This window comes from Homo sapiens, chromosome 3, assembly GCF_000001405.40.
Source record: "Homo sapiens chromosome 3, GRCh38.p14 Primary Assembly".
Classification (NCBI taxonomy): Eukaryota; Metazoa; Chordata; class Mammalia; order Primates; family Hominidae; genus Homo; species Homo sapiens.
In genome coordinates, this window is record NC_000003.12 from 12,849,592 (window position 1) to 12,874,927 (window position 25,336).

The 25,336-nt window shown below is 52.6% G+C and overlaps 1 long non-coding RNA gene and 3 pseudogenes across 2 annotated transcripts, besides 2 other annotated features; all 4 read left to right on the forward strand.

The window, feature by feature from the left end:
• Positions 1-904: 904 nt before the first annotated feature.
• Positions 905-22,328, forward strand: LOC124909346 (uncharacterized). 2 transcript variants are annotated; one of them, XR_007095819.1, is made up of 2 exons: positions 905-1,269; positions 22,145-22,328. It is a non-coding gene; the product is annotated as an uncharacterized LOC124909346 (long non-coding RNA). The 2 variants fall into 2 exon arrangements; XR_007095820.1 differs by lacking the exon at positions 905-1,269 and adding an exon at positions 19,642-21,704.
• MARK3P2 (microtubule affinity regulating kinase 3 pseudogene 2) lies at positions 7,723-9,095 on the forward strand (annotated as a pseudogene).
• On the forward strand, positions 11,096-12,659 carry LOC100421504 (microtubule affinity regulating kinase 4 pseudogene; annotated as a pseudogene).
• Positions 12,826-14,013, forward strand: LOC100421505 (microtubule affinity regulating kinase 4 pseudogene; annotated as a pseudogene).
• Positions 18,706-18,765: an enhancer, noted in NCBI's record as "active region_19455". NCBI's record gives its function as "activates an Ori minimal core promoter by ATAC-STARR-seq in GM12878 lymphoblastoid cells {active_cell/tissue: GM12878}" and the evidence as "EXISTENCE:reporter gene assay evidence [ECO:0000049][PMID:35858748]".
• Positions 19,316-19,595: a silencer, noted in NCBI's record as "silent region_14071". NCBI's record gives its function as "represses an Ori minimal core promoter by ATAC-STARR-seq in GM12878 lymphoblastoid cells {active_cell/tissue: GM12878}" and the evidence as "EXISTENCE:reporter gene assay evidence [ECO:0000049][PMID:35858748]".
• Positions 22,329-25,336: the final 3,008 nt, after the last annotated feature.

The following is a 25,336-nucleotide window of genomic DNA, read 5'->3' on the forward strand; positions in this document are numbered from 1 at the left end:
CAGTAGGGGCGGCTGGGCAGAGGCGCCCCTCACCTCCCGGGCGGGGCGGCTGGCCGGGCGGGGGGCTGACCCCCCCACCTCCCTCCCAGACGGGGTGGCTGCCGGGCGGAGACGCTCTTCACTTCCCAGATGGGGTGGCTGCCGGGCGGAGGGGCTCCTCACTTCTCAGACAGGGCGGCTGCCGGGCGGAGGGGCTCCTCACTTCTCAGACGGGGCGGTTGCCAGGCGGAGGGTCTCCTCACCTCCCAGACGGGGTCGCGGCCGGGTAGAGGCGCTCCTCACATCCCAGATGGGGCGGCGGGGCAGAGGCGCTCCCCACATCTCAGACGATGGGCGGCCGGGCAGAGACGCTCCTCACTTCCTAGATGGGATGGCAGCCGGGAAGAGGCGCTCCTCACTTCCTAGATGGGATGGCGGCCGGGCAGAGACGCTCCTCACTTTCCAGACTGGGCAGCCAGGCAGAGGGGCTCCTCACGTCCCAGACGATGGGCGGCCAGGCAGAGACGCTCCTCACTTCCCAGACGGGGTGGCGGCCGGGCAGAGGCTGCAATCTCGGCACTTTGGGAGGCCAAGGCAGGTGGCTGGGAGGTGGAGGTTGTAGCGAGCCGAGATCACGCCACTGCACTCCAGCCTGGGCACCACTGAGCACTGAGTGAACGAGACTCCGTCTGCAATCCCGGCACCTCGGGAGGCCGAGGCTGGCGGATCACTCGCGGTGAGGAGCTGGAGACCAGCCCGGCCAACACAGCGAAACCCCGTCTCCACCAAAAAAATACGAAAACCAGTCAGGCGTGGCAGCGCGCGCCTGCAATCGCAGGCACTGGGCAGGCTGAGGCAGGAGAATCAGGCAGGGAGGTTGCAGTGAGCCGAGATGGCAGCAGTACAGTCCAGCTGTGGCTCGGCATCAGAGGGAGACTGTGGAAAGAGAGGGAGAGGGAGACCGTGGGGAGAGGGAGAGGGAGAGGGAGAGGGGATTCAGTCTTTAAGAGGGTATTGGGCTGAAATGTGCAAGCACTGCCCAAGCCCAGAGTGGTTCTCACAGGATCCCCACCATCCCTGTCCCCCAGGAACCAAACGCCAACAGTGTGGCCTGGAACACCCAGTGTGAGGACATGCATGCTCTGCTTCTCGGGAGGAGGCTACCTCAACATCAAAGCCAGCACCTTCCCTATGCACCGGCAGAAGCTGCAGGGCTTTGTGGTCGGCTACAATGGCTCCAAGATCTTCTGCCTCCATGTCTTCTCCATTTCTGCCGTGGAGGTGCCGCAGGTAACTGGGAGTGCCTGTCCACTCTTAGCACTGGCAAGGCTGACAAGACCAGGGAAGCTGGGCCCTTTGCTGGTGCTTTGGGGAGAGAGTAGCAAGGAGAGAAGAATGGCAGCTGTGATGTCGTGGGAGGCAGCCTGGGCCTGGAACCTGCAGCCCTGTCTCCACTCCTTGCAACCTGTGTGACTAGGGGCAAACAGCTCAACCTCCCTGAGCCTCAGTTTCTTCCTTGTCCCCTTTCTGTAGGGATGGGAAGGGTATGCAGTGTCGTCAGCAGAGTGTGTTTTGTGGAGAGCCAAGCATGAGGCCAAGTGGAGAGAGAAGCAAAGCCGGGAGTCCAGCAGGGTGTGTGCATGAGCACGTGTGTGATGGTGGTGATGTGTGTGTGAGAGACAGGGGAGAGAGAGAATGAGTGGGTGGGGGGTGTGGGCTGAGGTCTGTGAGCCAATAAGGGAGCATGGGACTCTGCATGAGTCCCCTGAACTAGGAGGAGCCCACAACAGAAATGGGGCCCTGAAGTGTGGAGCCACAGAATGGGGGAGGGCAGAACCACAGACAGGTGGCTGAGATTGACCTCCCGAATGTGGGGTGGTCTCCCCTCTGCCTTCTGCACCCCACACAGATGGTGCTTACTGTAAGATTGCCATAAAACAGAGATGCGCGCTAGCGAGAAACTTTAGCCCTCAGCATCCCATCCTCAAGACAGAATCACTCCTAAACATATTGGAATACATTTGCTTAGAGCTTTTCTTTGTGTATATATAATATATGCATAATATACAACATAATATACACAGTCATCTAGTCATGACTGTCAGGGGAGATTACACATGTTGACATAGAAGGAAAGATCACCCTAGAGCTTTGCACACTGTTACCATTGGGGGAAACTGGGCAAAGGGCATAAGGGTGTTGCACTACCCTTTTACAGCCAGCACACCTCCCTCCTGCCCGGGCCCTCCTGCATTGTATTTACCATTGGATTTTATCCTGTCTTGTGGATGGTCCACAGCTTCTTTGACCAGTTCTACTGGACATGTTTGCTGCTTATGGCTTTTTTTTTTTTTTTTTTTTTTTTTTTGAGACAGAGTTTTGCTCTTGTTGCCCAAGCTAGAGCACAATGGTGTGATCTCGGCTCACTGCAACCTCCGCCTCCCAGGGTCAAGTGATTCTCTTGCCTCAGCCTCCCAAGTAGCTGGGATTACAGGCACGTGCCACTATGCCTGGCTAATTTTTTGTATTTTTAGTAGAAATGGGGTTTCATCATGTTATCCAGGCTGGTCTCAAACTCCTGACCACAGATGATCTGCCTGCCTCAGCCTCCCAAAGTGCTGGGATTACAGGCATGGGCCACCGTGCCCAGCCAGCTTTTTTGTATTGTAAATAGCAGGCATCTTTCTAGCTAAGTCCTTGCATCTGTCCCAACTTGGCGCCTTGGCATAAATTCCTAGAAATGAAATTGCTGGGTCAAAGCATGTGTACCTTTGAAAGATTTTTAGGGAAATTTCCAGGTTTCCCTTCTGCTAGGCTCTGTCAGTCTGTGTTTTCCCCCACACAACTCAGCTTCAGGCTAGAGCCCACTTCTTCTAAGCTGATGATACCCTCGAAACTCCTGACTGCAAGACTTACTGGGGAAATGCCCATCATCCATGCCTGACACAGAGCAGCTATTCAAGAAATGTTAGTGGAATTCAGAAATTTAGTGGAATTCAGATCTGAGGAAAAAGACCAGAAAGCAAGAGGAAGAAGGGAATGAGGTGGGTGGAAGTGGCAGCAGGACGAGGGGCACAAACAGCTTCTCCTGGACTGTGTCCTCGTCATCCTTGTCTGCCCCATTACAAACCCACGCACTACATCCACCAGGAACTCATCTCCCTCAATTGCCCCAAACTAGCTCTGCTTATTAAAAGGTTTTCTTCCAAGATTGCCATCCTGACCTCAAAAATAAATGCAGTTTGCTGCTCCCTGACTGTGGCCAGCCAAGAGGAGCCAAAGGGGTGGCCTGGGGCTTCCTCTGCCAGGACCTTAAGATTCAGCAGCAAGGCCAGGTGCAGTGGCTCACACCTGTAATCCCAGCCCTTTGGGAGGCCAAGGACGGGTGGATCACCTGAGGTCGGGAGTTCGAGAACAGCCTGACCAACATGGAGAAACCTCATCTCTACTAAAAATACAAAATTAGCCGGGCATGGTGGCGCACGCCTGTAATCCCAGCTACTCGGGAGGCTGAGGCAGGAGAATCGCTTGAAGCCGGGAGGCTGAGGTTAGTGAGCCGAGATTGCACCATTGCACTCCAGCCTGGGCAACAAGAGCGAGACTCCATTTCAAAAAAAAAAAAAAAAAAAAAAAGATTCAGCAGCAAAGTCTTGCTGGCTGCACCAAGGCCATCCTGCTGACACAGCAGGTCAGGACTGTCAAAAGTTAGGAAAGGCAGTCTCAAGACAAAGGCAACATCTGTCGCCTCTGCCTCTGGCCATCCTGCCCAGAGAGGAGGGATAAAGCATGAGATACAGTCTTGGAATTTTTGGTTTCCTTTCAAAATTTATATAATCTTGTGCAAGAACTGGTTTGTCAGGGCTGCCAAGTAGGACAGCGAGCCCTAGGAGGGCTTCTCCAGGTGGTGGTGACTTCATGTTTGGAAAGCAACAGCAAGATAAAGTATAGCTCAGAGGGTGAGTGAGGGTGAGTGAGTCTCAGAGGGTGAATGAGTCTATTTCTAAAACTCCACTCAAATTGTGCCTCCCAGCAAGTCCAAGTGTTAGCCATCCATCATATGCTCAGCTGTGATATGCCTGAGTGCCCGCCCCACTCTCGGGGCAGTCAGCGTGGCAAGGAGTTGTGCGGTTTGGGGAAGGAGCACCGGCTTTCAGTCCTGACTCTGCCATTCAAACATTTGCTGAGCAAAGGACCCATCGAAGGCACTGTGCTAGGTAGTGTGGGTGATGCTAAGATGAGGTACGTGTTTAGTTCCTGGGTGTAAGGAGGTGACAATCTAGAGGGAAGACTTTAAATTTCATTCTGTGCCCAAAGCAAGCAACACCTATTCTAGGGATTTGTCGTCTTCCTCCCTGCTGGCATTTCTGGCTGAGGCAGGAGAGGGAAGCTCCCTCCATGGAGATGCCTCTTCCCTCCTCTGACTCTTACAGCCTCCTCCATCTCCACTTACCTACACTGAGGACATCTAAAAATATAATCTAGATCATTGTTACACAACGATCACTTCCCTTGTTTAGTAATGGCTAGTATCTGCACAACCATCCCTGATTTGAATTCCCCTTTACAACATCTCAGTTAAGCCTCATGACTGCAGCAGGCATTCTCACCACCCCCATTTCAGAACTGGGAGGACTGGGGCTCCAAGGAAAGTGGCTGGCCTGAGGTCCCAGAGCCCCTTACGTGGCACAGCTGGTTCTCAGCCAGGCTTCTTAGTCCTGGTCTGGTCCAGTCTCCTCTCTCTTCATGCCTACAAGTCTTGACCTAACCCAAGGCTGGCATCACATCCCTCCTTGCCACTCCTTCAATATCAGCCCAGGAGTATGGACAAAATGAGCAGCTCGTTAATTGACTGTGAGGAGATAAAGAGGGAAGGAGTAGGGGAGAGGGGGTTGGAAGCCATTCTTTCCTCCATCTCAGGTTCTAGATGGAAACACAGCTCAGGAACATACCTAGGCATTTCCTTACGTGCGGAAAGGAGTCAGATGTTTTCAGCCATCTCTCTAGCTTTCATAGACTAGGCCAGGAAAGGACACAATGAATCAAGTCCATGAATCCCGCCATGAAGGTACGTGGGAAGTGCCCACATTGCTGTCAGAATCAGAGACCTTGACCATCTTTTCCACTCTAGTTGGCAGATGCTAAGAAAAGCAGCATTGTGTGCAGAATCATGGCCAGTGATTACACCGATAATAAAAGCCGCTATTTATGGAGTGCCTATGATGTGCCAGGCTACTAGTCAAGTGCTTCCCATAGAGAACAGCTAATAAGAGTGATAGCCAGAATCTGAGATGCTGCTCCTGGGTCAGACTTTACAGGCATCTTCCCACTCAATCCTCACAGCTTTGTCCAGCTGTGCAACACCTGAATCACAGATGCCTGCAGAGCAGCCTCTGACCAGAAGCCTGGCCCTGCAGGATGAAAAGATGAAGTCACATTGTGGTCATCTTCAAAGCAGCCAGGGGCCAGGGTCTCGCTCATCTCCCCAGGTCTTTTTAGGAGGGAGGATACCATACAGCCAAGCAGAGGCTGCCAGTGGCAAGCAGGGTTGCGCTGCACTTTCAATTCAAAGGGCTCCAGAGCTGCCGCTTCCTCTAGGTGCAGGTCAGTCCATTTTGACTGGGACAGTCCATGTGGGCGCTGTTCTAGATCCTCACGCCAACTGAATGAGGCAGGTACTGTTGCTATCCCTATTCCATGCAGGAGGAAACTAAGGCTCAGCGAGGCTATGCCACATTCCCATGGGTCCACAGACAAAAGCTCAGTGAAATTCAAGCCCAGTCTGTTTCATAAGCTCATGCTCTCTCGGCCACGTACCCTCCCCACCTGCGCATCGTAAGGGGCACCTGTATGTTCTGGGGTTTACCTACCCGCATGGTAAAGGGCTCGTTCAGAGCCATTGCCCAAAATGCCCAGTGCTGCTGACTCTCACTTGTAAATCCACTGGCCTGGATCTAGGGGTCTTCACCTGAAGCCAATGAGCATAATTTTCCTCTCTACAAAAGTAACTGGTTGCTGTGGGGTCCAGCTATTGTCATTTGTCACGTCTTACTGAGGTCAAAATGTCTGACTCTCCTTATGTGCTATGAGGTGGGAAGTGGGTTAACGTAAACTCCTAAGAGTGTTTCTTGAAAAAAAGTTAAGTGCCTTCGAGTGCACTCCATGTTGACTGTCCTATGGCCTTAGGTGCACACATCTGGGTGCCCAGCATAATTCCAGAGAACCGCGGCTCCTCAGCAGATGCCTTTTGGAGAGGGAAGATGTTCCTATCCTGCTGACGGGGGGAAAGAATCTGTCCACATTGACCTGCACCTGCTGAGTGCCAGGCCATAGATCGTTTTTACTGGTCATAGTGATATTCTGGGGTCTAGAATGGATATGGTCTGAATTTCATGTCTGGTAAATTCTTATTGTAAATATATATTTTGTAGCGATAGGGTCTTGTCATATTGACCAGGCTGGTCTGGAACTCCTGGGCTCAAGCGATCCTCCTGCCTTGGCTTCCCAAAGTGCAGGATTTGCAAGTGTGAGCTCCTATGCCCAGCCAAAAAGGTTTGTTTTTTTTTTTTTTTTTTTTTTTTTTTTTTAACTCACTGCCAGATTTTAATTCATTTCCAAGTACTAGGAGTTAGTCTGTCTGGTGAGCCTGAGCTATGTGCAGGATTTTTAAAAAATGATTTCTGTCCATTGGGAAGCATGTTAAAATGCCCTCCCTGAGTACCCCATCTGCAGTATGGTTACCCCCATCTTCCATCATCACTTTTCTTGGTATTTCCTTCCTAGTTCCTATCCCTATTGGGAGTTTTTTGCACTGATAGACTAGTCTCTCTTGCCCAGTTAGTGTCCTCTCCTCACCCTAAGGGTCAGCCCCGGGCAGGCCAGGCCACTCTGCCTTGGGGTGCCTGTAGCATGTGCCCTTGATGGGTGGCCCCCAGGGGACCCAGCCACACTCAGTCAGCTGTGGTCTTGGGGCAGCCACGTCTGTGTAGGCAGTACTTAGGAAGGACAAACTCCAAAACCCAGGGCTCCAAAGGACCCATGGGAAGGTTGGGAGGCTCAGGGGAGTGAACCTGTACTGGGCCCAGTGCTTCGAGGCCACTGGGGACACAGCAGAGAGGACCTCCTGATAGGTATCTGGAGGTGCTGAGTGCCTACGGGAGCTGCAGAACCTGCTGACGGTGCCCAACAGTGTGGGGACAGCATTGCCTGGAGAAATGTGGCCACAGCAGCCCATAGGGGTCAGGCTGTGCCTAGGGAGACCAAGCTGGGCAGGGCCTTTGCCCATGGGAGTTCTGTTTCAGACCCGCCCCCAGCACCTGGCCCTGCCCCAGTCTCTGCCTTGTCTGTGCCTGCAGCCATGGTGCCCAGGCTTGTCCCACCAGGAGACACCACGAGTCTGTCCATGTGTCCACATTTCTGCTTCTTCCCTGTGAAGTGGGCAATAGGTCAGGGATCCAGTCTGTTGGCAGCTGAGGTATTGTCAGCAACAGTTAGTGACCTTAGCCTAGTTAGCAACAGTGGTGCTGTGCATCTTAGCCTAGTTTGCAGAGTTAGGACTTGTAAACAGCGTAGTTAGGAGGTACCATGGAGCAGGAATCAGCCTCCACCTCACTTGATAAAGAAATACAAAACCATAAGATCATAGGCACCATCCCGCCAGAGATCTGGCCCAGCATAGGCTGAGACCCAGGTCGTCCTCCAAATCATCTCTTAAAAGGCTGACCTTGCTCTCCAGACAGAGATGAGCTCATAAAAATTCTCCATCACCCAAATATCATTCAACTCTACCAGGTGATTGACAAGGCAGAAACCATTTAGGTGGTAATGGAGTATGCCAGAGGAGGAGAGCTGCATCACCTGATACACCACCACCACGACATCAAGGATGGGGAGGAGGCCTGGATCATGTTAAGGCAGATTCTGTCAGCCCTGCAGTACTGCCACTTAAAGAATATCACACATCCAGACCTAAAGCTACAAAACATCCTACTCAATGAGGAAGGCAAAATAAAAATCATAGACTTTGGCTTTAGCACAATATTCAGGGAGCAGCGGATTGCTGAAAACCTTTTGTGGGGTATACCCCTACATGGTCACAGAAATCTTCCTGGGACTGGGGTACCGTTGACTTGCCATAGACATATACTGCCTCAGCAGTATTCTCTATTCCACGATGTCCGGGTCCCTGCCTTTCAACTCAAGAAAGAATTATCAGACCTCAAGAAAAAATTATTAGTGCAGAATATCATTCACCACAATTTTGTTCCCTACGAATGGAAAGACTTACTGAAAAGTGACTAACACTGGACCCCAGGGAGTGTCCTTCACTGAAAAAAGTGATGAAAGATCCCTAAGTGAAAAGTGTCCAGAAGATGTCACTACCAATGTATGAAAAGCCACTTCTGGACCATCTGAACCCCAAACAATCCAGCTTATGGTGCCATGGGATTCCAGACCGAGAACATCTCAGTGTCAACAGTGGAAAAGAAATTAACTATCCCATGGCAAATACCTCATTTGAGAACACAAAAAATAAGAGAAGAGGAGGTGCTCCACCATCAAGCACCGCCCCTTCCTCCTGGGGTTTCCACCTATCCATCCCCATCTGCAGAAATATCCCCCTTCCCAGCAAAACCAATGGGGGCTCAAAGCAAGCCAGAATTTCCTACTTGTCATTTTCAGCTACCCAAGCAGGGCCAAAAGTCAGGTAAGACTCTCCTTCCCCACAAAAGAGCATGACCAGTCAGGAAGAAGAGGTCTGGAGAGAGAGCAAAAGAATTGTGGGCCCCATTGTTTACCCAGTGTGCAGCTGTCCTTAAAATCAACTTTGGGGGTGAGGGTCCACCAGGTGTCAATACTGAATCTCTCTTCACCCAATGCCAGTTTGCAACTCCAAAGAAGGGGTCCCTGTGGGCCCCACTTGAGATCCTGAAGACCCTTCAGGGTCTGTCTTCCCCACCTTGCTGCCATCCACCCCCTCTAGAAGTGCCAGCCCTCTGAGAGGAGGTGCCTTCCTCAGGCCTGGCATCCACTGGCACCAAAAAAGGCTAGAACTGATTCTGGGCGATGACCTGCGGTAGAGCTTGACATCTCTTTTCTAAAAGCCAGGACTCCAGGATCAGCCAGCTGGGGTGGGTAAAAAGACCATAAGGAAGGGGCAAGAGGCATCAAACAAAACCCACGAAGACAGAAAGCCCCCTACAGTGTCAACACAGGCCTGGTCCCAGAAACTGTGCGGCCCTAAATGCAAACCGGGCAACCTTGGCTTGTTCATCTCCCTTTGCAGCAGCATAGTGAGGAGGTACCATAAAGCAGGGATTGGTCTCCACCTCAACTCACAAAGAAATACAAAATTATTGGATCATAGACACAATTTGCCAAGGAACTGGCCAGTCATAGGTCAACTGGGACCCAGGTTGTCCTCCAAATCATCTCTAAGACGACTGGCCTTGCTCTGCAGAAAGATGAGTATCATGAAGACACCCAACCGCCCAAATATAATTCAGCTCTACCAGGTAATTGACCAGCCAGAAACAACTTATATGATGATACACGACAACAACAACAGCTGAACCACCAGATATGCCACCACGGCCACATCAGGCAGCAGGGGAGGCCCCGATCAACTTCAGGCAGATTCTGTCAGGCCTGCAGTACTGCCGCTTAAAGAACATCACACATCCAGAGCTAAAGCCACAAACCCATCTAGTCATAGAGGAAGGCAATATAAAAATAACGGATTTTTGCCTTTAGGACAATATTCAGGGAGAAGTAGATGCTGAAAACGTTTCATGGCCTGTACCCCTACATGGTCACGGAAGTCTTCCTGGGCCCAGGGTACCACTGACTTGCCATGGACGTGTCCTGCCTCAGCACTATTCTCTATTCCACGATGGTCGGGTCACTGCCCTTCTACTCAGGGAACCCTACAGACCTCAAGAAAAAATTATCAGTGCACAATACCATTCACCACAATTTATTTTTCCCTATGAATGAAAAGACTTACTAAAAAGTGACTAACTCAGAACCCCAGGGAGTGTCCTTCACTGGAACAAGTGATGGAAAGTTTCTAAGTGAAAAGTGTCCAGAAGATCCCACTACCAATGTACGAAGAGCCACTCCTGGATCACCTGAACCCCAAACAACCCAGCTCATGGTGCCACGGGATTCCAAGCTGAGAACATCTCAGTGTCAACACTGGAAAAGTATTCAACTATTTCATGTCACATACCTCCTTTGAGAAGGGAAGAAATAACAGAATAGGAAGCGCTCCACCATCAGAGCAGCGTCCCTTCCTCCTGAGGTCCCCACCTATCCCTCCCCATCTGCCAAAGTTTCTACCTTCCCGCAAAACCAAAGAAGGCTCAGAGCAAGCCAGTATTGTTTACTTGTCGTTTTCAGCTGCCCAGGCAGGGCCAAAAGTCAGAGAATAGAGGAAGTCGGATAAAATTCCCCTTTCCCCCAGGACAGAAGAACCAGGAAGCAGGAAGCAGGCTGAGACAGAACAAAAGTGTTGTGGGCCCCTTTGTCTACGCAGTGTGCTGCTGTCCTTAAAATCCACTTTGGGGGTGAGGGTCCACCAGGTGTCAATACTGAATCTCCTTCCGCCCAATGGCAGTTTAAACTTCAGAGAGAGGATCCCTGCGGACCCCACTTGAGCTCTCAAAGGGCCCCTCAGAGTCTGTCTTCCCCACCTTGCAGCCATCCACCACCTCTAGAAGTGCCAGCCCTCTGAGAAGAGGTGCCTTCCTCAGACCTGGCATCCACTGGCACTGGACAGGGCCAGAATTGTTTCTGGCCCGTGACCAGTGGTAGAGCTCGCCATCTCTTCTGTAGAATTTGGGGCTCCAGGCTCAGCCAGTGGGGCTGGGTTAAGAGACCATGGGGGAAAGGGCCTCAGGCACCAGAACAAAACCCAGGAGCAGAGAGAGCCCCCACCAGCATCAACCCAGGCTGGACATCAGGAGCTGTGCAGCCCTAGGTGGAGGCTGGGCAACCGTGGCTTGTTGATTTCACTTTGCGGCGGCGTAGTGAGGAGGTACCAGAAAGCAGGGATCGGTCTCCCCCTCACTTCACAAGGAAATACTAAATTAACAGATCATAGACACCATTCCCCAGGGAACTGGCACAGCATAGGTTAACTGGGACCCAGGTTGTCCTCCAAATCATCTCTATGAAGACTGGCCTTGCTCTCCAGAGAGAGAGATGAGTATCATGAAGACTGTCAACCACCCAAATATTATAAACGCGTACCAGGTAATTGACAAAGTTACAACACAAAATCCACAACTTAGAGAAGCAAGAAACAGAACAGCACCACCAGATATGCCACCATGGCCACATCAGGCAGCCACATCAGGAGGCCCTGATAAACTTCAGGCAGATTCTGTCAGGCCTGCGGTACTACCACTTAAAAACATCACACATCCAGAGCTAAAGCCACAAATCCATCTAGTCATAGAGGAAAGCAATATAAAAATCATGGGCTTTTCATTTAGGGCAATATTCTGGGGAGAGTAGATGCCAAAAACCTTTTGTAGCCCGTACCCCTACATGGTCACAGAAGTCTTCCTGGGCCCGGGGTACCACTGACTTGTCATGGACGTGTCCTGCCTCAGCACTATTCTCTATTCCACGATGGTCAGGTCCCTGCCCTTCTACTCAGGGAACCCTACAGACCTAAGACAAAGTTATCAGTGCAGAATACCACTTACCACAATTTTTTTAATCTATGAACGAAAAGACTTATTAAAATGTTACTAATACTGGTCTCCAGGGAGCGTCCTTCACTGGAACAAGTGATGGAAAGTTTCTAAGTGAAAAGTGTCCAGAAGATCCCACTACCAGTGTATGAAGAGCCACTCCTGGATCACCCGAACCCCAAACAACCCAGCTCATGGTGCCATGGGATTCCAAGCTGAGAACCTCTCAGTGTCAACACTGGAAAAGTATTCAACTATTTCATGTCACATACCTCCTTTGAGAAGGGAAGAAATAACAGAATAGGAAGCGCTCCACCATCAGAACAGCATCCCTTCCTCCTGGGGTCCCCACCTGTCCCTCCCCATCTGCCAAAGTTTCCACCATCCCCGCAAAACCAAAGAAGGCTCAAAGCAAGCCAGTATTTTTTACTTGTCATTTTCAGCTGCCCAAGCAGGGCCAAAAGTCAGAGAAAGTCAGATAAGATTCCCCTTTCCCCCGAGACAGAAGAACCAGGAAGCAGGAAGCAGGCTGGGGAGAGGGTAAAAGTGTTGTGGACCTTCTTGTCTATGCAGGGTGCTGGTGTCCTTAAAATCCACTCCGTGCGTGAGGGTCCACTCGGTGTCAGTACTGAATCTCCCTCCACCCAATGGCAGTTTAAACCACAGGGAGAGGGTCCCTGTCAGCCCCACTGAGCTCTCAAAGGGCCCCTCTGGAAGTGCCAGCCCTTTGAGAGGAGGTGCCTCCCTCAGAGCTGGCATCCACTGGCACCAGACAAGGCCAGAATTGTTTCTGACCCATGACCTGTGGTAGAGCTTGGCATCTCTTCTCTTGAATCCGGGGCTCCAGCCTCAGCCTGCTGGGCTGGGTTAAGAGACCATAGGGAAAGGGCCTCAGGCACCAGAACAAAACCTAGGAACAGAGAGAGCCCCCACCAGCGTCAACCCAGGCCAGGCCTCAGGAGCTGTGCAGCCCTAGGTGCAGGCCGGGCAACCTTGGCTTGTTCATCTCCCTTTGGAGCAGTGTAGTGAGGAGGTACCATAAAGCAGGGATCGGTCTCCACCTCACTTCACAAGGAAATACTAAATTAGCAGATCATAGACACCATTCCCCAGGGAACTGGCCCAGCTTAGGTTAACTGAGACCCAGGTTGTCCTCCAAATCATCTCTATGAAGACTGGCCTTGCTCTCCAGAGACAGAGATGAGTATCAGGAAGACTCTTAACCACCCAAATATAAATCAGGTTTATCAGGTGTTTGACAAGGCAGAAACCATCTGCCTGGTGATGTTGTAAGCCAGAGGAGAGCTGCCGCACCAGATATGCCACCAAGGGCACATCAAGGAAGAGGAGGAGGCCCAGACCATGTTTGGGCAAATTCTGTTAGCAATGTAGTACTGCCTCTATAAAAACGTCGCACATGCAGACGTAAGCTTACAAATCATCCTACTCCCTGAAGAGCGCAATATAAAAATCGTGGACTTTGGCTTTAGCATGACATTCGGGGAAAGGAGATTCGGAAACCCTTTTTGTGGCATGTACCCCTATGTGGCCACAGAACTCTTCCTGGTTCCAGGGTGCCAGTGACCCACCATGGGATAAACAACACCTCAGCATGATTCTCTATTCCACAATGGCCAGGTCCCTGCGCTTTAACTCTATGGACCTCAAGAACAAGATAGAACAGAAAAGAGCTACTTGCTACCATTTTTTTCATTTCAAATTAAAAAAATGAAATCTTGGCCGGGAGCAGTGGCTCATGCCTGTAATCCCAGCACTTTGGGAGGCCGAGACGGGTGGATCACGAGGTCAAGAGATCGAGACCATCCTGGCTAACACGGTGAAACCCCGTCTCTACTAAAAATACAAAATATTAGCCAGGCATGGTGGCGGGCACCTGTAGTCCCAGCTACTCAGGAGGCTGAGGCAGGAGAATGGCGTGAACCTGGGAGGCAGAGCTTGCAGTGAGCCGATATCGCGCTACTGCACTCCAGCCTGGGCAACAGAGCAAGACTCCATCTCAAAAAAAAAAAAAAAGAATAAAAACTTATAATACTGGACCCCATGGAGCAATTCCCACTGGACAAGCTCATTTGGGACCCGTGGGTGAACAGTGGCAGGAAGATGTCACTCACACCACACCAAGAGCCACTCCTGGACCACCCGAACCCTAAACAACCCAGCTCATTGTGGCCATGGGATTCCAGGCTGAGAACATCTCAGTGTGAACAATGGAAAAGAAATCACCTATCCCATGGGACATATGTCATTTGAGAACACAAGAAATAACAGAATAGGGAGCGCTCCACCATCAGAGCACCGTCCCTTCCTCCTGGCGTTCCCACCTATCCCTCCCCTCTGCCAAAGTTTTCACCTTCCCAGCAAAACCAAAGAGGCCTCCAAGCAAGCCAGTATTTCCTTCTTGTCATTTTCAGCTGCCCAAGCAGGGCCAGAAGTCAGAGAAAAGCAGTTAAGATTCTCCTTCCCCCCAAGATAGCAGGACCAGGAAGTAAGAAGTGGGCTGGGGACAGGATGGGAGTGTTGTGGACCCCTTTTCTCTTCAGTTTGCTGCCGTTTTTAAATCCACTTTGGGGATGAGATTCCCCCAGGTGTCAATACTGAATCTCCCTCCACTTAATGCCAGTTTGCAACCCCAGAGAGAGGGTCCCTGTGGGCCCTGCTTGTGCTCCTTCAGAGTCTGTCTTCCCCTCCTTGCTGCCATCCACTCTCTGGAAGTGCCAGCCCTGTGAGTGAAGACGCCTTCCCCACTCCTGGCTTCCACTGGCCTTGGAGAAGGCCAGAATTGTTTCTGGCTCATGTCCTGCAGTAGAGCTTGACGTCTCTAATCTAGAAGCCAGGGATCCAAGTCTCAGTGAGATGGGCTGAGTCAAGGGACCATAGAGAAGGGGTTCCAGGTACCAGGGAAAACTCACAAACAAAGAAAGCTCCCTCCTGTGTCCACACAGGCCGGGCCTCAGGAGCCACGCAGCCCTAGGTGCAGGCCGGGCAACCTTGACTTGTTCATCTCCCTTTGCAGCCAGTGGCTTCCTTTTGGGAGAATATTCTTCTTGGCATGGAATGACAGCCATGGAGGGTGGGTAGCAGGCCTGAGCAGGGTAGGCTCTTTAGTGGCAGCCCAGAGAGGAGGAACAGGCAGTGGGGGGCTTTCCAGCTCCACCGTCCAGGTTAGGCCACTGAGGCTGCAAAGAGATTGAGTAGCATCCCCAATGATATCTAGACAGGAAGGGATGGCAAAGATTTGCTGTTTACCCCGTCCCAGGCTGCCCCACACACACCCAGCCACTTCCCAGTTTTCTGCTTTGTCCCCCTTCTTAGGTTCTGAAGTTATCTTGTTTTACACCTGTCACTACCACTGGAGCAGGGACCTTGCCTCCCCCCACAGCCACACAGCCCTCGCACCCAGTAGGCCCTCAATCAATAGTTGTGTGTAAGATACAATAAATCTTTCTGAGTTTCTCTTCAAAGGGTTTAGCCTGTTAACTTCCTTATCCTGGCCAGGCGCCATGGCTCACGCCTGTAATCCCAGCACTTTGGGAGGCTGAGGCGGGCGGATCACGAGGTCAGGAGATCAAGACCATCCTGGCTAACACGGTGAAACCTCGTCTCTACTAAAAATACAAAAAATTAGCCGGGTGTGGTGGCAGGCGCCTGTAGTCCCAGCTACTCGGGAGGCTGAGGCAGGAGAATGGCCTGAACCCGGGAGGCGGAGCTTGCAGTGAGCCGAGATCGTGCCACTGCACTCCAGCCTGGGCGACAGAGTGAGATTCCGTCTCAAAAAACAAACAAACAAACAAACAAAAAACTTCCTTATCCTTTGTTCTGAAACTCAACTTTCTTGTTCTCCCTTGCCCCTAGTTACCGTAAACAGCCTACCACTTCCCGTGGGCTCTAATCAATAACACATCTGTTCCCTTGGTTACCTGCACCCATTGTTCCCCTGAAACTGAACATCTCACACGATTCACCTCTGTACCTCACGTCTCCCTCCCCTGCTGTATTTAGGAAAATATGTACAAGTAGCCAATCGGGTCAGCTTAGATTGTGCAGTCTGACCTCAGCCCATGGGGGAGTGGTACAGAGATAGGGATAGGGACTGCTTTAAGGATAAAACCCCCTGGTCTCCTTTGTTCTGTGTGCACTTGCGATCTTGATTGACAGGAGTGACACCCTTCTGCAGAAGTAAATTGCCTTGCTGAGAGAATTAAACTTTTGCTTGAGTGCTGTTTTTACTCGTGGCACTGAGCATTTATTCCTGGAGTATTTTATATCCAACATGTGGAATTGGTGAGATGGGATTCAAGCCCGAGGTGTGTCTGCAGAGCATTGGAAGTGCAGCTCTGGGTCCCTGAGGCTGCCCAGCAGAGCAGGCTTGGGGACCCACAGGGGGAGTGGACGCCTACTGTGACTCTCAGCAAGGCTGGTGGGACTGTCACTCACTAAGCTTATTTGCCCATCCAATCTTGGGGATCCTGAGCTCTCTACGGGACAAGGCTGGTGGGTTCACAGCTGCCCCTGAGGGTTTCCTCGGCAACCTCAAAGAAGACTCTGCTCCTTACTTGCCAGCACGTGTTACTAAAGAACGGGGGGCAGAGAGAATGGGGTAGTTATGGTGACAGGGGTAAGGAGAAGGCAAAGAGTTTTCCAGTTTTCAGTGATGGTAGCGGTGGCGGACACATGGCCCAGAGCACCATCTCTTCCTCCTGTCTGTCCCTTGCTTCCTCTGCCCTGCCACCTCTCCCTTCCTCCCCACCCAGCTCGCTGCAGTCCTCTCCTCCACCTTTCCAAGGTACATGCAGCTTGCTGCTCTCCTGATACCCCGACTAAGGCTGTGGCTTCTGGTCCCTGCTGACTTCTTGGACTTTATTTCCCTGGCCCCCTCCCCCACCTCCTTTCTGTTTGTCCCAGCCCCACCCCCAACTCCCTCTCCCCCAGTTCTTCCTTTGCCATTCATAATCCCCCCATCCTGATTCCTCTTCTAGGTTTTCTCAAAGTTATCTTTTTATACACTTGCTAGTATCTGTTCTGTTTTCCCCCAGACCTCCTCCTGTGCAACACGGAATGATGAACATCTAGACACAGGAATCTCACTCCCAGCCTAGCCAGGACCCAGGTTTTGTGAAGGGGTGTTGGGCAGTAGAAAAAGCAAACCCCCGGCCGGGCGCGGTGGCTCACGCCTGTAATCCCAGGACTTTGGGAGGCTGAGGCGGGTGGATCACGAGGTCAGGAGATCGAGACCATCTTGGCTAACACGGTGAAACCCCGTTTCTACTAAAAATACAAAAAATTAGCCGGCGTGTTGGTGGGCGCCTGTAGTCCCAGCTACTCGGGAGGCTGAGGCAGGAGAATGGCCTGAACCCGGGAGGCGGAGCTTGCAGTGAGCTGAGATCGCGCCACTGCACTCCAACCTGGTGGACACAGCGAGACTCCGTCTCAAAAAAAAAAAGAAAAAGAAAAAGCAAACCCCACCAAACCAACACCCAGTCTAGAGCCTGATCTAAGTGCCACTCAAAACATGTTTCCTCCTTTTACTTTCCTATATCCCAAGAATTCTTCCTGAAAAAGGTGGCCCCTGAGAGCCATCTAGAAGCATCACGGGGTGGAGGGGCAAGGGTCCTGAGAGCGGGTCTTGATGTCCCTTATCCCCAGTTTTCTTGAAGAAGCAGAGCTCCAGAGAAGAGGTAGGGCCCGTGGGGCGTTTGAGTTACACTCCAAGCCTAATTCTCAGTCCAGCAGTCCTGCCCCCAGAGGCTCCCTTCATCTGTCCACTTGGCCAAGGAAGGGGCAGGTCGCCCCACACCCCCCATCTGGCTGCAGAAGACAACCACCAGAAGGGTGTCCATGTAGCCGGGGCCCCAGAACCATGTCTGCATAGAAAGGGCCCAAGGAGCTAGAGCCCTTTAGCCTCAAGAAAAGTGTGAGGGACCCAGCATCCTTCTGAAACCTAAACTGAACTCTGGCCTGAGCCATTTTCACCGTCTGTGCCCTAGAAGGTTGTGAAGGCCTGGAAGTGGGTCTTCCTGCTTTCTCATCTTCTGAGGCTCAAGCCTTTCTCGGACTCCGTGGGTCCCACCCCGCTGGGCACTGCTGTTCCCTCCCTTAGAAGACTTTCACAGGCCCTGACCATCCCTTTTGCCAATCAAGTGAATGTCACCTCCTCAGGGAAGCCCTCCCTGAGCACCCCATCTGCAGTAGGGTCACCTCCATCTCCCACCCTCACTTTTCCTGGTGTTTCCTTCCTAGCCCCTATCTCTATGGAATGTTTTCTGCACTGATAGACTAGTCTCTCTCACCCACCCGGGGGCCAGCGTGTCTGTCTTCTCTGTCCCTGCACATGGGAGATGGTCAATGTTCACTTGTTGGCATCAATGTTCACTTGTTGGCATCAATGAAACAGGAAGGCCCCTGAGGTGCTGGGATTGGGAGCCCTTCACCCCAGTTGAGGAAGGAGGCTTGAGGAAGGGGAAAGGACCCGAGTTAGTGCCCTCTCCCTACCCCGAGGGTCAGCCCCGGGCAGGGCTGGTCACTACACCTTGGGACATTGTGGGCAGCAAACCACCCAGGTGCCAAGGCAAGAGACCAAGGGCACAAGCTGTTCCAGTATAATAAAATATATAGAATAAGAATAGTTATACTAGAAATAGATTATAGATATGATTATATATGAATATCATTAATCATTAGTTTGTAACATTACTCTTTATCCCAATATTATAATCTTTGTTCTACAATTACAACCTAGGAAAACCCAGGCCACACAGAGCTAGGAGCTGAAGGGACACAGTGAGAAGTGACCAGAAGACAAATGTGAGCCCTCTGTTACGCCCGGCCAGGACCACTAGAGGGCTCCCTGGCCTAGCGGTAACGCCAACGCTTGTGGAAGCGCTGACTTCCACAATTCTGCAGGAGGACTTCCACTCCTTGTGGAAGGCCTGACATCAGTCAGTCCCGCCCGCAGCCATCCGGAGGCCTAACCATCTCCCTGTGATGCTGTGCTTCAGCGGTCACGCTCCTGGTCCGCTTTCATGTTCCACTCTGTACACCTGGCTCCGCCTTTTAGATAGCAGTAGCAGAATTAGTGAAAGTACTAAAAGTCTTTGAAATGCATAGAAGAAATAATGGCATAAGCTGTCCCCCCTCTCTCTCTCCGCCTCCGCTGCCAAACAGGGAAGGGCCCCCTGTCCAGTGGACACGTGGCTTACATGACCTTATCAATCATTGGAGATGACTCACACTCCTTACCCTGCCCCTTTTGCCTTGTATCCAATAAGTAACAGTGCAGCCAGGCATTCGGGGCCACTACCGGTCTCCGCATCTAGGTGGTAGTGGTCCCCCGGGCCCAGCTGTTTTTTTCTGTCTCTTTTTCCTGTGTCTTTATTTCTACAATCTCTCGTCTCCGCAAACGAGGAGAAAAACCCACAGACCCAGTAGGGCTGGACCCTACACGACGCCTCTCCCCCTGTGCCCTTGATGGGTGGCCCGCAGGGGACGCGGCCGCACTCGGTCCGCTGTGGTCCTGGAGCAGCCGCGTCCTGGCTGGCGGCATTTAGGAAGGACAAACTCCAGAACCCAGGGCTCCAAAGGACCAATGCATGGGAAGGTCGGGAGGCTCAGGGGAGTGACCCCGCGTCTGGGCCAGCGCTTTGAGGCCCCTGTGGACCCAGTGGAGAGGGCCCGGGTGAGGCCTCTGGAGGCGCTGAACGGGGCCAGGAGCCGTGGGACGCACAGAGGGCGCCGGTCCCTGTGGGCACAGCAGCCCCTGGAGGGAGGTGGTCTCGGCCGCCCTCAGAAATCAGGCTCAGCCCGGGGGTCCCTGGCTCCGCCTCCCAGGCCGGGCTCTCTTTGCCCAGGCTGGGCGGGGCTGATGGCCGTTGGAAGCCCCGCCCCCCGCCGCTCACCGCCTCCTGGCCCCGCCCCCGTCTCCATGGAGACCCTACGCCGCCGGACACCTGTTAGCTGCTGCTCTGGAGCCTGGGGGCTTGACCAGGCTGTCCCCCGACTCGAGACACCGGGTTGCCTGTCCACGCCTCCACTCCCGGGCCACTTCCCCGCGGAGCAGGCAGTAGGGCAGTGAGGGATGGGAATCTTGTAACCAGAGAAGGGAACTGCCCCCAGGCCGAGAGAGTTTGGAGCCTGGGGTACTGTCACCAACAGACCAGGACTCCCGCAGCTGGGCCCTCCCCTAGAGTGTTCCTGCAGCAGGGCTCTCCTCCCAAGGGGCTGTGAATGTTTCCCCAGGGTGGGGCTGAAGCCAGAACCCAGAGGTTTGCCCCTGGGGCACGGATTCCCCAGGTCATTCGCCTCCCACGGGCTGCAGTGAAGGAGGCTCTGAGGGGAGGATGGCCAGCTTTTCCCCTGCAAGGATATGAGCCCCAGGGAAGGCATTTCTGCTCTGGGGACTGCCTCCCTCCCCTACATCAGAGCCAGCCCTCAAAAGCTTGGCCAACCTGACCACTCTGTCTGTGATCTCTGCCAGAGAGGCTGAAAGAACATCCAGCCCCACCTGTGGCCCCTTCCCACCTCAGGCTATATGACAGTATGACACCCCACCTATTTTTTTTCATTTCCACTGGAAACACTAGTAAAACAATTTTTCACCCTCTACCCCAGGGAGCGACCCCCACTAAACCAGCTGACTTGTGACCCCTGGGTCAATTTTGGCCAGAAGATGCTGCTGACACCATACAGAGAGCCTGGGCACCTGGGCCCCCTACAAGCCTGGTCATGGTGCCCATGGGATTTCAGGCCCCATGCATTTCCGAATCAGTATTTCCCCCACAAAAAAATACGCATGTAATTATCCCATGGCCACGTACCTAATCCTGGGGTACAGGAAAAGTGCAGAGGAAGAAGGGCTCCATCACTGGAGCACAGTCCCTTCCTCCTGGGGGTCCCACCTGTTCTTCCCCATCTGACAAAGTCCACCTTCCCCATGGAACCAAAGAGGGCTCAAAGGGAGCCAGCTGTTCACACTTTTTAATTTTCAGCTGCCTGACGAGGGCCAGAAGTCAGGGCAGAAGACCACCATTCCTGCCCCAGAACTCTTCCTGGGCCTGGGAGTGCCAGTGCCCCACCATGGACATATGGAGCTTCCATGTCATTCTCTATTCCATGGTGGCTGGACCCTGCCCTTCTACTCAGGGAGCCCTACAGACCTCAATAATAAAACTATCACAAGAAAATACCATGTCCCACCATTTTTTCCCTTCAACTTGAAAGACTGATTAAAAAGTTATTAACACTAGACCCCAGGGAGCAGCCCCCCACTGGAACAACTGATGAGGGACCCATGGGAGAACAGTGGTCGGGAGATGCCAGTGATACCATATGAAGTGCCACTCCTGGACCACCCAAGCCACAAACAACTCAGCTCATGATGGTCATGGGATTCCGGGCTGAGAACATCTCCGTGTCAATAGTAGAAAGAAAATTCAACTATCCCATGGCCCCATACCTCATTTTAGAGCATCCAAAACAAAAGAGGAAGCACTCTACCCTCAGAGAACTGTCCCTTCCTCCTGGGGTTCCCACCTGTCTTTCCCTATCCACCGAAGTTTCCACCTTCCTGCTCCCACTGAAATGGACTCACAGCAAGCCAGCTTGTCACACTTTTAAAATTCAGCTGCCCAAGGACAGCCAGAAGTCAGGGCAGAAGACCACCATTCCTGCCAGTGCACCTGCTGGCCTGCAGAGGAAGCCAGACAGTTTTAGTGACGCCCCCAGCATGACCCTGTGGCCTCCCCCTCCACTCAGAGCACCAGAAGCAGTGACAGAGACCCAGAAACGTCCCTGGCCCAGCGAGAACCATCGCAGAAAGCCAGCTTCCTCCAAGCTGGGCAGCCAGAGGCTGTGACGTCAGCCTCACCAAGAAACCAGGGCTGCCGCAGGGCTGCCAGAAGATGACTTTCATTTCTGCTAAGATTCGGTCACTTGAGCCCAGCGCAGAACATTCCAACCAATAAAATCACCCCAAAGAAGTAGTTGGACGGCAGTAGTGAAGACAAAAACCAAGTAGGTGGGGTAGTGAAACCACACTTCCTGCATTTTATGGTATTTATTATGTCTTTATTAGTATTATTTTAATTGGCAAATCATGCTTGTACACTTATGGGGTACAATGTGAGGATTCGATAGATGTGTGCACCGTGGAATGAGGAAATCCCGCTACTCAGCATCTCCACCATCTCAGAGAGACCAATTCCACATGATGTCCTGGAAGTGTTGATCTGAAAAAGTTGACCCCATAGAAGTAGCAAGTAGATCGATGTTGAACTGGGGCTGGAGAGTGACAGAGGGAGGGAATGGGGGGTTGTCGGTTAAAGGACCAAAGTCTGGACTGGAGGAAGAGCTTTTGACATCTAGTGCACAGCAGGGTGACCAGATCAATGAGAATGTGTTGCGTTTTGCAAAACACCTGAGAGAGTCCATATCAAATGTCTCCCTGCATTTAGATTGGAGAGGACGAAGGCCCTGAGGTCCAAGAACATTGAAACCTGACAGTGGATGCCAACAGCTGTGGGGAGGAGCCTGGTGAGACGCCCATGCTGCCACGTGCCCAGCAACGTTGGAGCCTGCAGCGCTTTTCCCCTGCCCTGCTCTATTTTATCTTTTTTAATAAAGATGGCTCCTGATAAATGACCGTTTCCTGCAAATCTTGTAGTAGCATTGGAAAAGTGGCAGGTGGGTCACAGACACTCTGCTGCTTTGCGCCCTCCCTGCACAGAAAGGGGGCTGTGCAAACCCTAGTTTAGGTGGCATGCAGTCATATGATCCTCTCAGTTACTCAGAAAAATTGAAAGGAAAAGAGACCTCAGGGAAGTATCAGGATGACCCCACCCACAGCAAATCATTATTAGTGGCTCTGAAGGGCTGAGGCTCTGAGTGGGTGCAGGGCAGAGTCCCACACATTGCGCATGGCCTCTCCACACTCACACTGCCTGGTGAACATTTTCAGAAGGACCAGCGGCCCCTTCAGGTCCCGTCTGCCTGTGTTAATCATGCTGAGAGGTTCCCAGGAGGATCCCGAAGGCCTGGGAACCAGTTGTGCTGGGGTCAGAGTGACGGGGGTGTGGTCCCCAAAGTGCCTTAGGGGGCCACTTGTTCTGCTGGGCTCCTGGCTGTCTAGTGTGGCATTGGCCTTTCTGCTGCGATGGTTTCCCCTTTTGCTAAAAGTGGCACGGAGCCATCCCCCCTCAGAGGCCTGACGGAGGAGTGAGCCTTCATCGAGGCCCAGGTTGAAGGGGTGCTTCTGGGTGAGGCAGGTGTCCTGGGGGTCTGGGGAGGGTTGATGGCAAGACACAGCAGCAGCCCCGAGGGATGGAGGGGGTGATGGGAATGGGGGCTTTCATAAGGCAGGTTCCAGTTTCCCAGGAACCCAGTGTTTCCATTTCAGGCAGTGAATCTATGGGTGCAGATGCCCATCAGCACCTATCAGGGAGCTTCTTCATGGGTTCCTAAGGGGCCTGATGAAGGTCCAGAAGGCCCCGCCCATGTGCATGGCCAGTGGCTCGGTGTGCACAGCCTTGAACATATGGTGACCCTGCCCACTACTGATGGTGGTCAGGGACTATCCTGGAGTTCAACCAGTCATATAAGATTCTCCTTCCCCAACAAAGAGCAGGAACGGGAAGCAAGAAGCAGGCTGGGGCAAGCATGGGAGTGTTGTGGAGCCTCTTGTCTCCCCAGTGTGCCACTGTCCTTTAAATCCACTTTGGGGTTGAGGGTCCCCCAGGTGTCAATACTGAATCTCCCTCCACCCAGTGCCAGTTTGCAACCCCAGAGAGAGGGTCCCTGTGGGTCCTGTTTGAGCTCCCCACCAAGGGCCCCTCAGAGTCTGTGCCTCCAACTTGCTGCCGTGCCGTGTCCCCTCTGGGAGTGCCAGCCCTGTGAGAAGAGGAGCCTTCCCCAGGCCTGGCTTTCACTGGCATCGGACAAGTTGTTTCTGGCCTGTGCCCTGTGGTAGACCTTGACATCTCTTCTCTAGAAGCCTGGGCTCCAGGCTCAGCGAGCTGGGCTGAGTCAAGACACCATAGGGAAGGGGCTCCAGGCAACAGGGCAAAACCCACAGACAAAGCTCCTTCCAGTGTCCACCCAGGCCGGGCCTAAGGAGCCATGTGGCCCCAAGTGCAGGCCAGGCTACCTTGGCTTGTTCATCTCCCTTTGTGGCCAGCGGCCTCCTTTTAGAGGAACATTCTTCTTGGGAGGAATTGAGAGCCATAGAGGGTGGGGAGCAGGCCTGAGAAGGGCAGACTCCCTAGAGACAGCCCAGAGAGCAGGGTCAGGCAGTGGGGAAGCTCAAACTCTACCAACCAGCTGAGGACACTGAGGTGCAAGAGAGATCGGGTAGCATTTTCCATGATATCCGGACAGGAACAGATGGCAAAGATTTGCTGTTTACCCCATCCCAGGCTGCACCGCACCCGCCCAGCCACTTCCCAGTTCTCTGCTTTGTCCCCCTTCTCAGGTTCTGAAATCATCCTGCTTTACACCTGTCACTCCCACTGAAGCAGGGACCTTGCCTCCCCCACAGCCACACAGGTCTCGCATCCAGTAGGCCCTCAGTCAATATTTGTGGAATCAGTGAGATGGGATTCAAGCCCGAGATGTGTCTGCAGAGCATTGGAAGTGCAGCCCTGGGTCCGAGAGGCCACCCAGTAGAGCAGGCCTGGGGACCCGCAGGGGCAGTGGACGCCTACTGTGACTCTGGGGAAGGCTGGTGGAACTGTCACTCACTAAGCTTATTTCCTCATCCAATCTTGGGGATCCTGAGCTCCCTACTTGGCAAGCCTCATGGGTTCACAGCTACCTCCAAGGGTTTCCTTCGCAAACTCAAATCAGACTGCTCCTTACTTGCCAGCACCTATTACTAAAGAAGGGGGAGCAGAAAGAATTGGGGTGTCATAGTGACAGTGGTAAGGAGAAGGCAAAGAGTTTTCCACTTCTGGCGATGGTAGCGGTGGCAGCCACCTGGCCCAGGGCACCATCTCTTTTCTCCTGTCTGTACCCTGCTTCCTCTGCCCTGCCACTTCCCCCTTCCTCCCCACTCCGCTCACTGCAGTCTTCTCTCCATCTTTCCAAGGTAGATGCAGCTTGCTGCTCTCCTGATGCCCCAACTAAGGCTATGGCTTCTGGTGCCTGCTGACCTCTTGGACTTTATTTCCCTGGCCCCTCCCCCACCTCCTTTCTGTTTGTCCCAGCCCCACGCCCAACTCCCTCTCCCCCAGCTCGTCCTTTGCCATTCATAATCCCCCCATCTTCATTCCTCTTCTAGGTTTTCTCTGGCTAAATTTTCTTTTATACACTTGCTAATATCTGTCTCCTTTTCCCTAGACTTCCTGTGCAACACGGAATGATGAAAATCTAGACACAGGAATCTCACTCCCAGCCTAGCCAGGACCCAGGTTTTGTGAAGGGGTGTGGGGCGGGAGAAAAAGCAAACCCCACCAAACCAACACCCAGTCTAGAGCCTGATCTAAGTGCCACTCAAAACACGTTTCCTCCCTTTACTTTCCTATATCCTGATAATTCTTCCTGAAAAAGGTGGCCCCTGGGAACTGTCTAAAAGCATCATGGGATGGAAGGGCAAGGGTCCTGAGAGTTGGTCTTGCCATCCCTTTGTTTCCAGTTTTCTTGAAGAAGTCGAG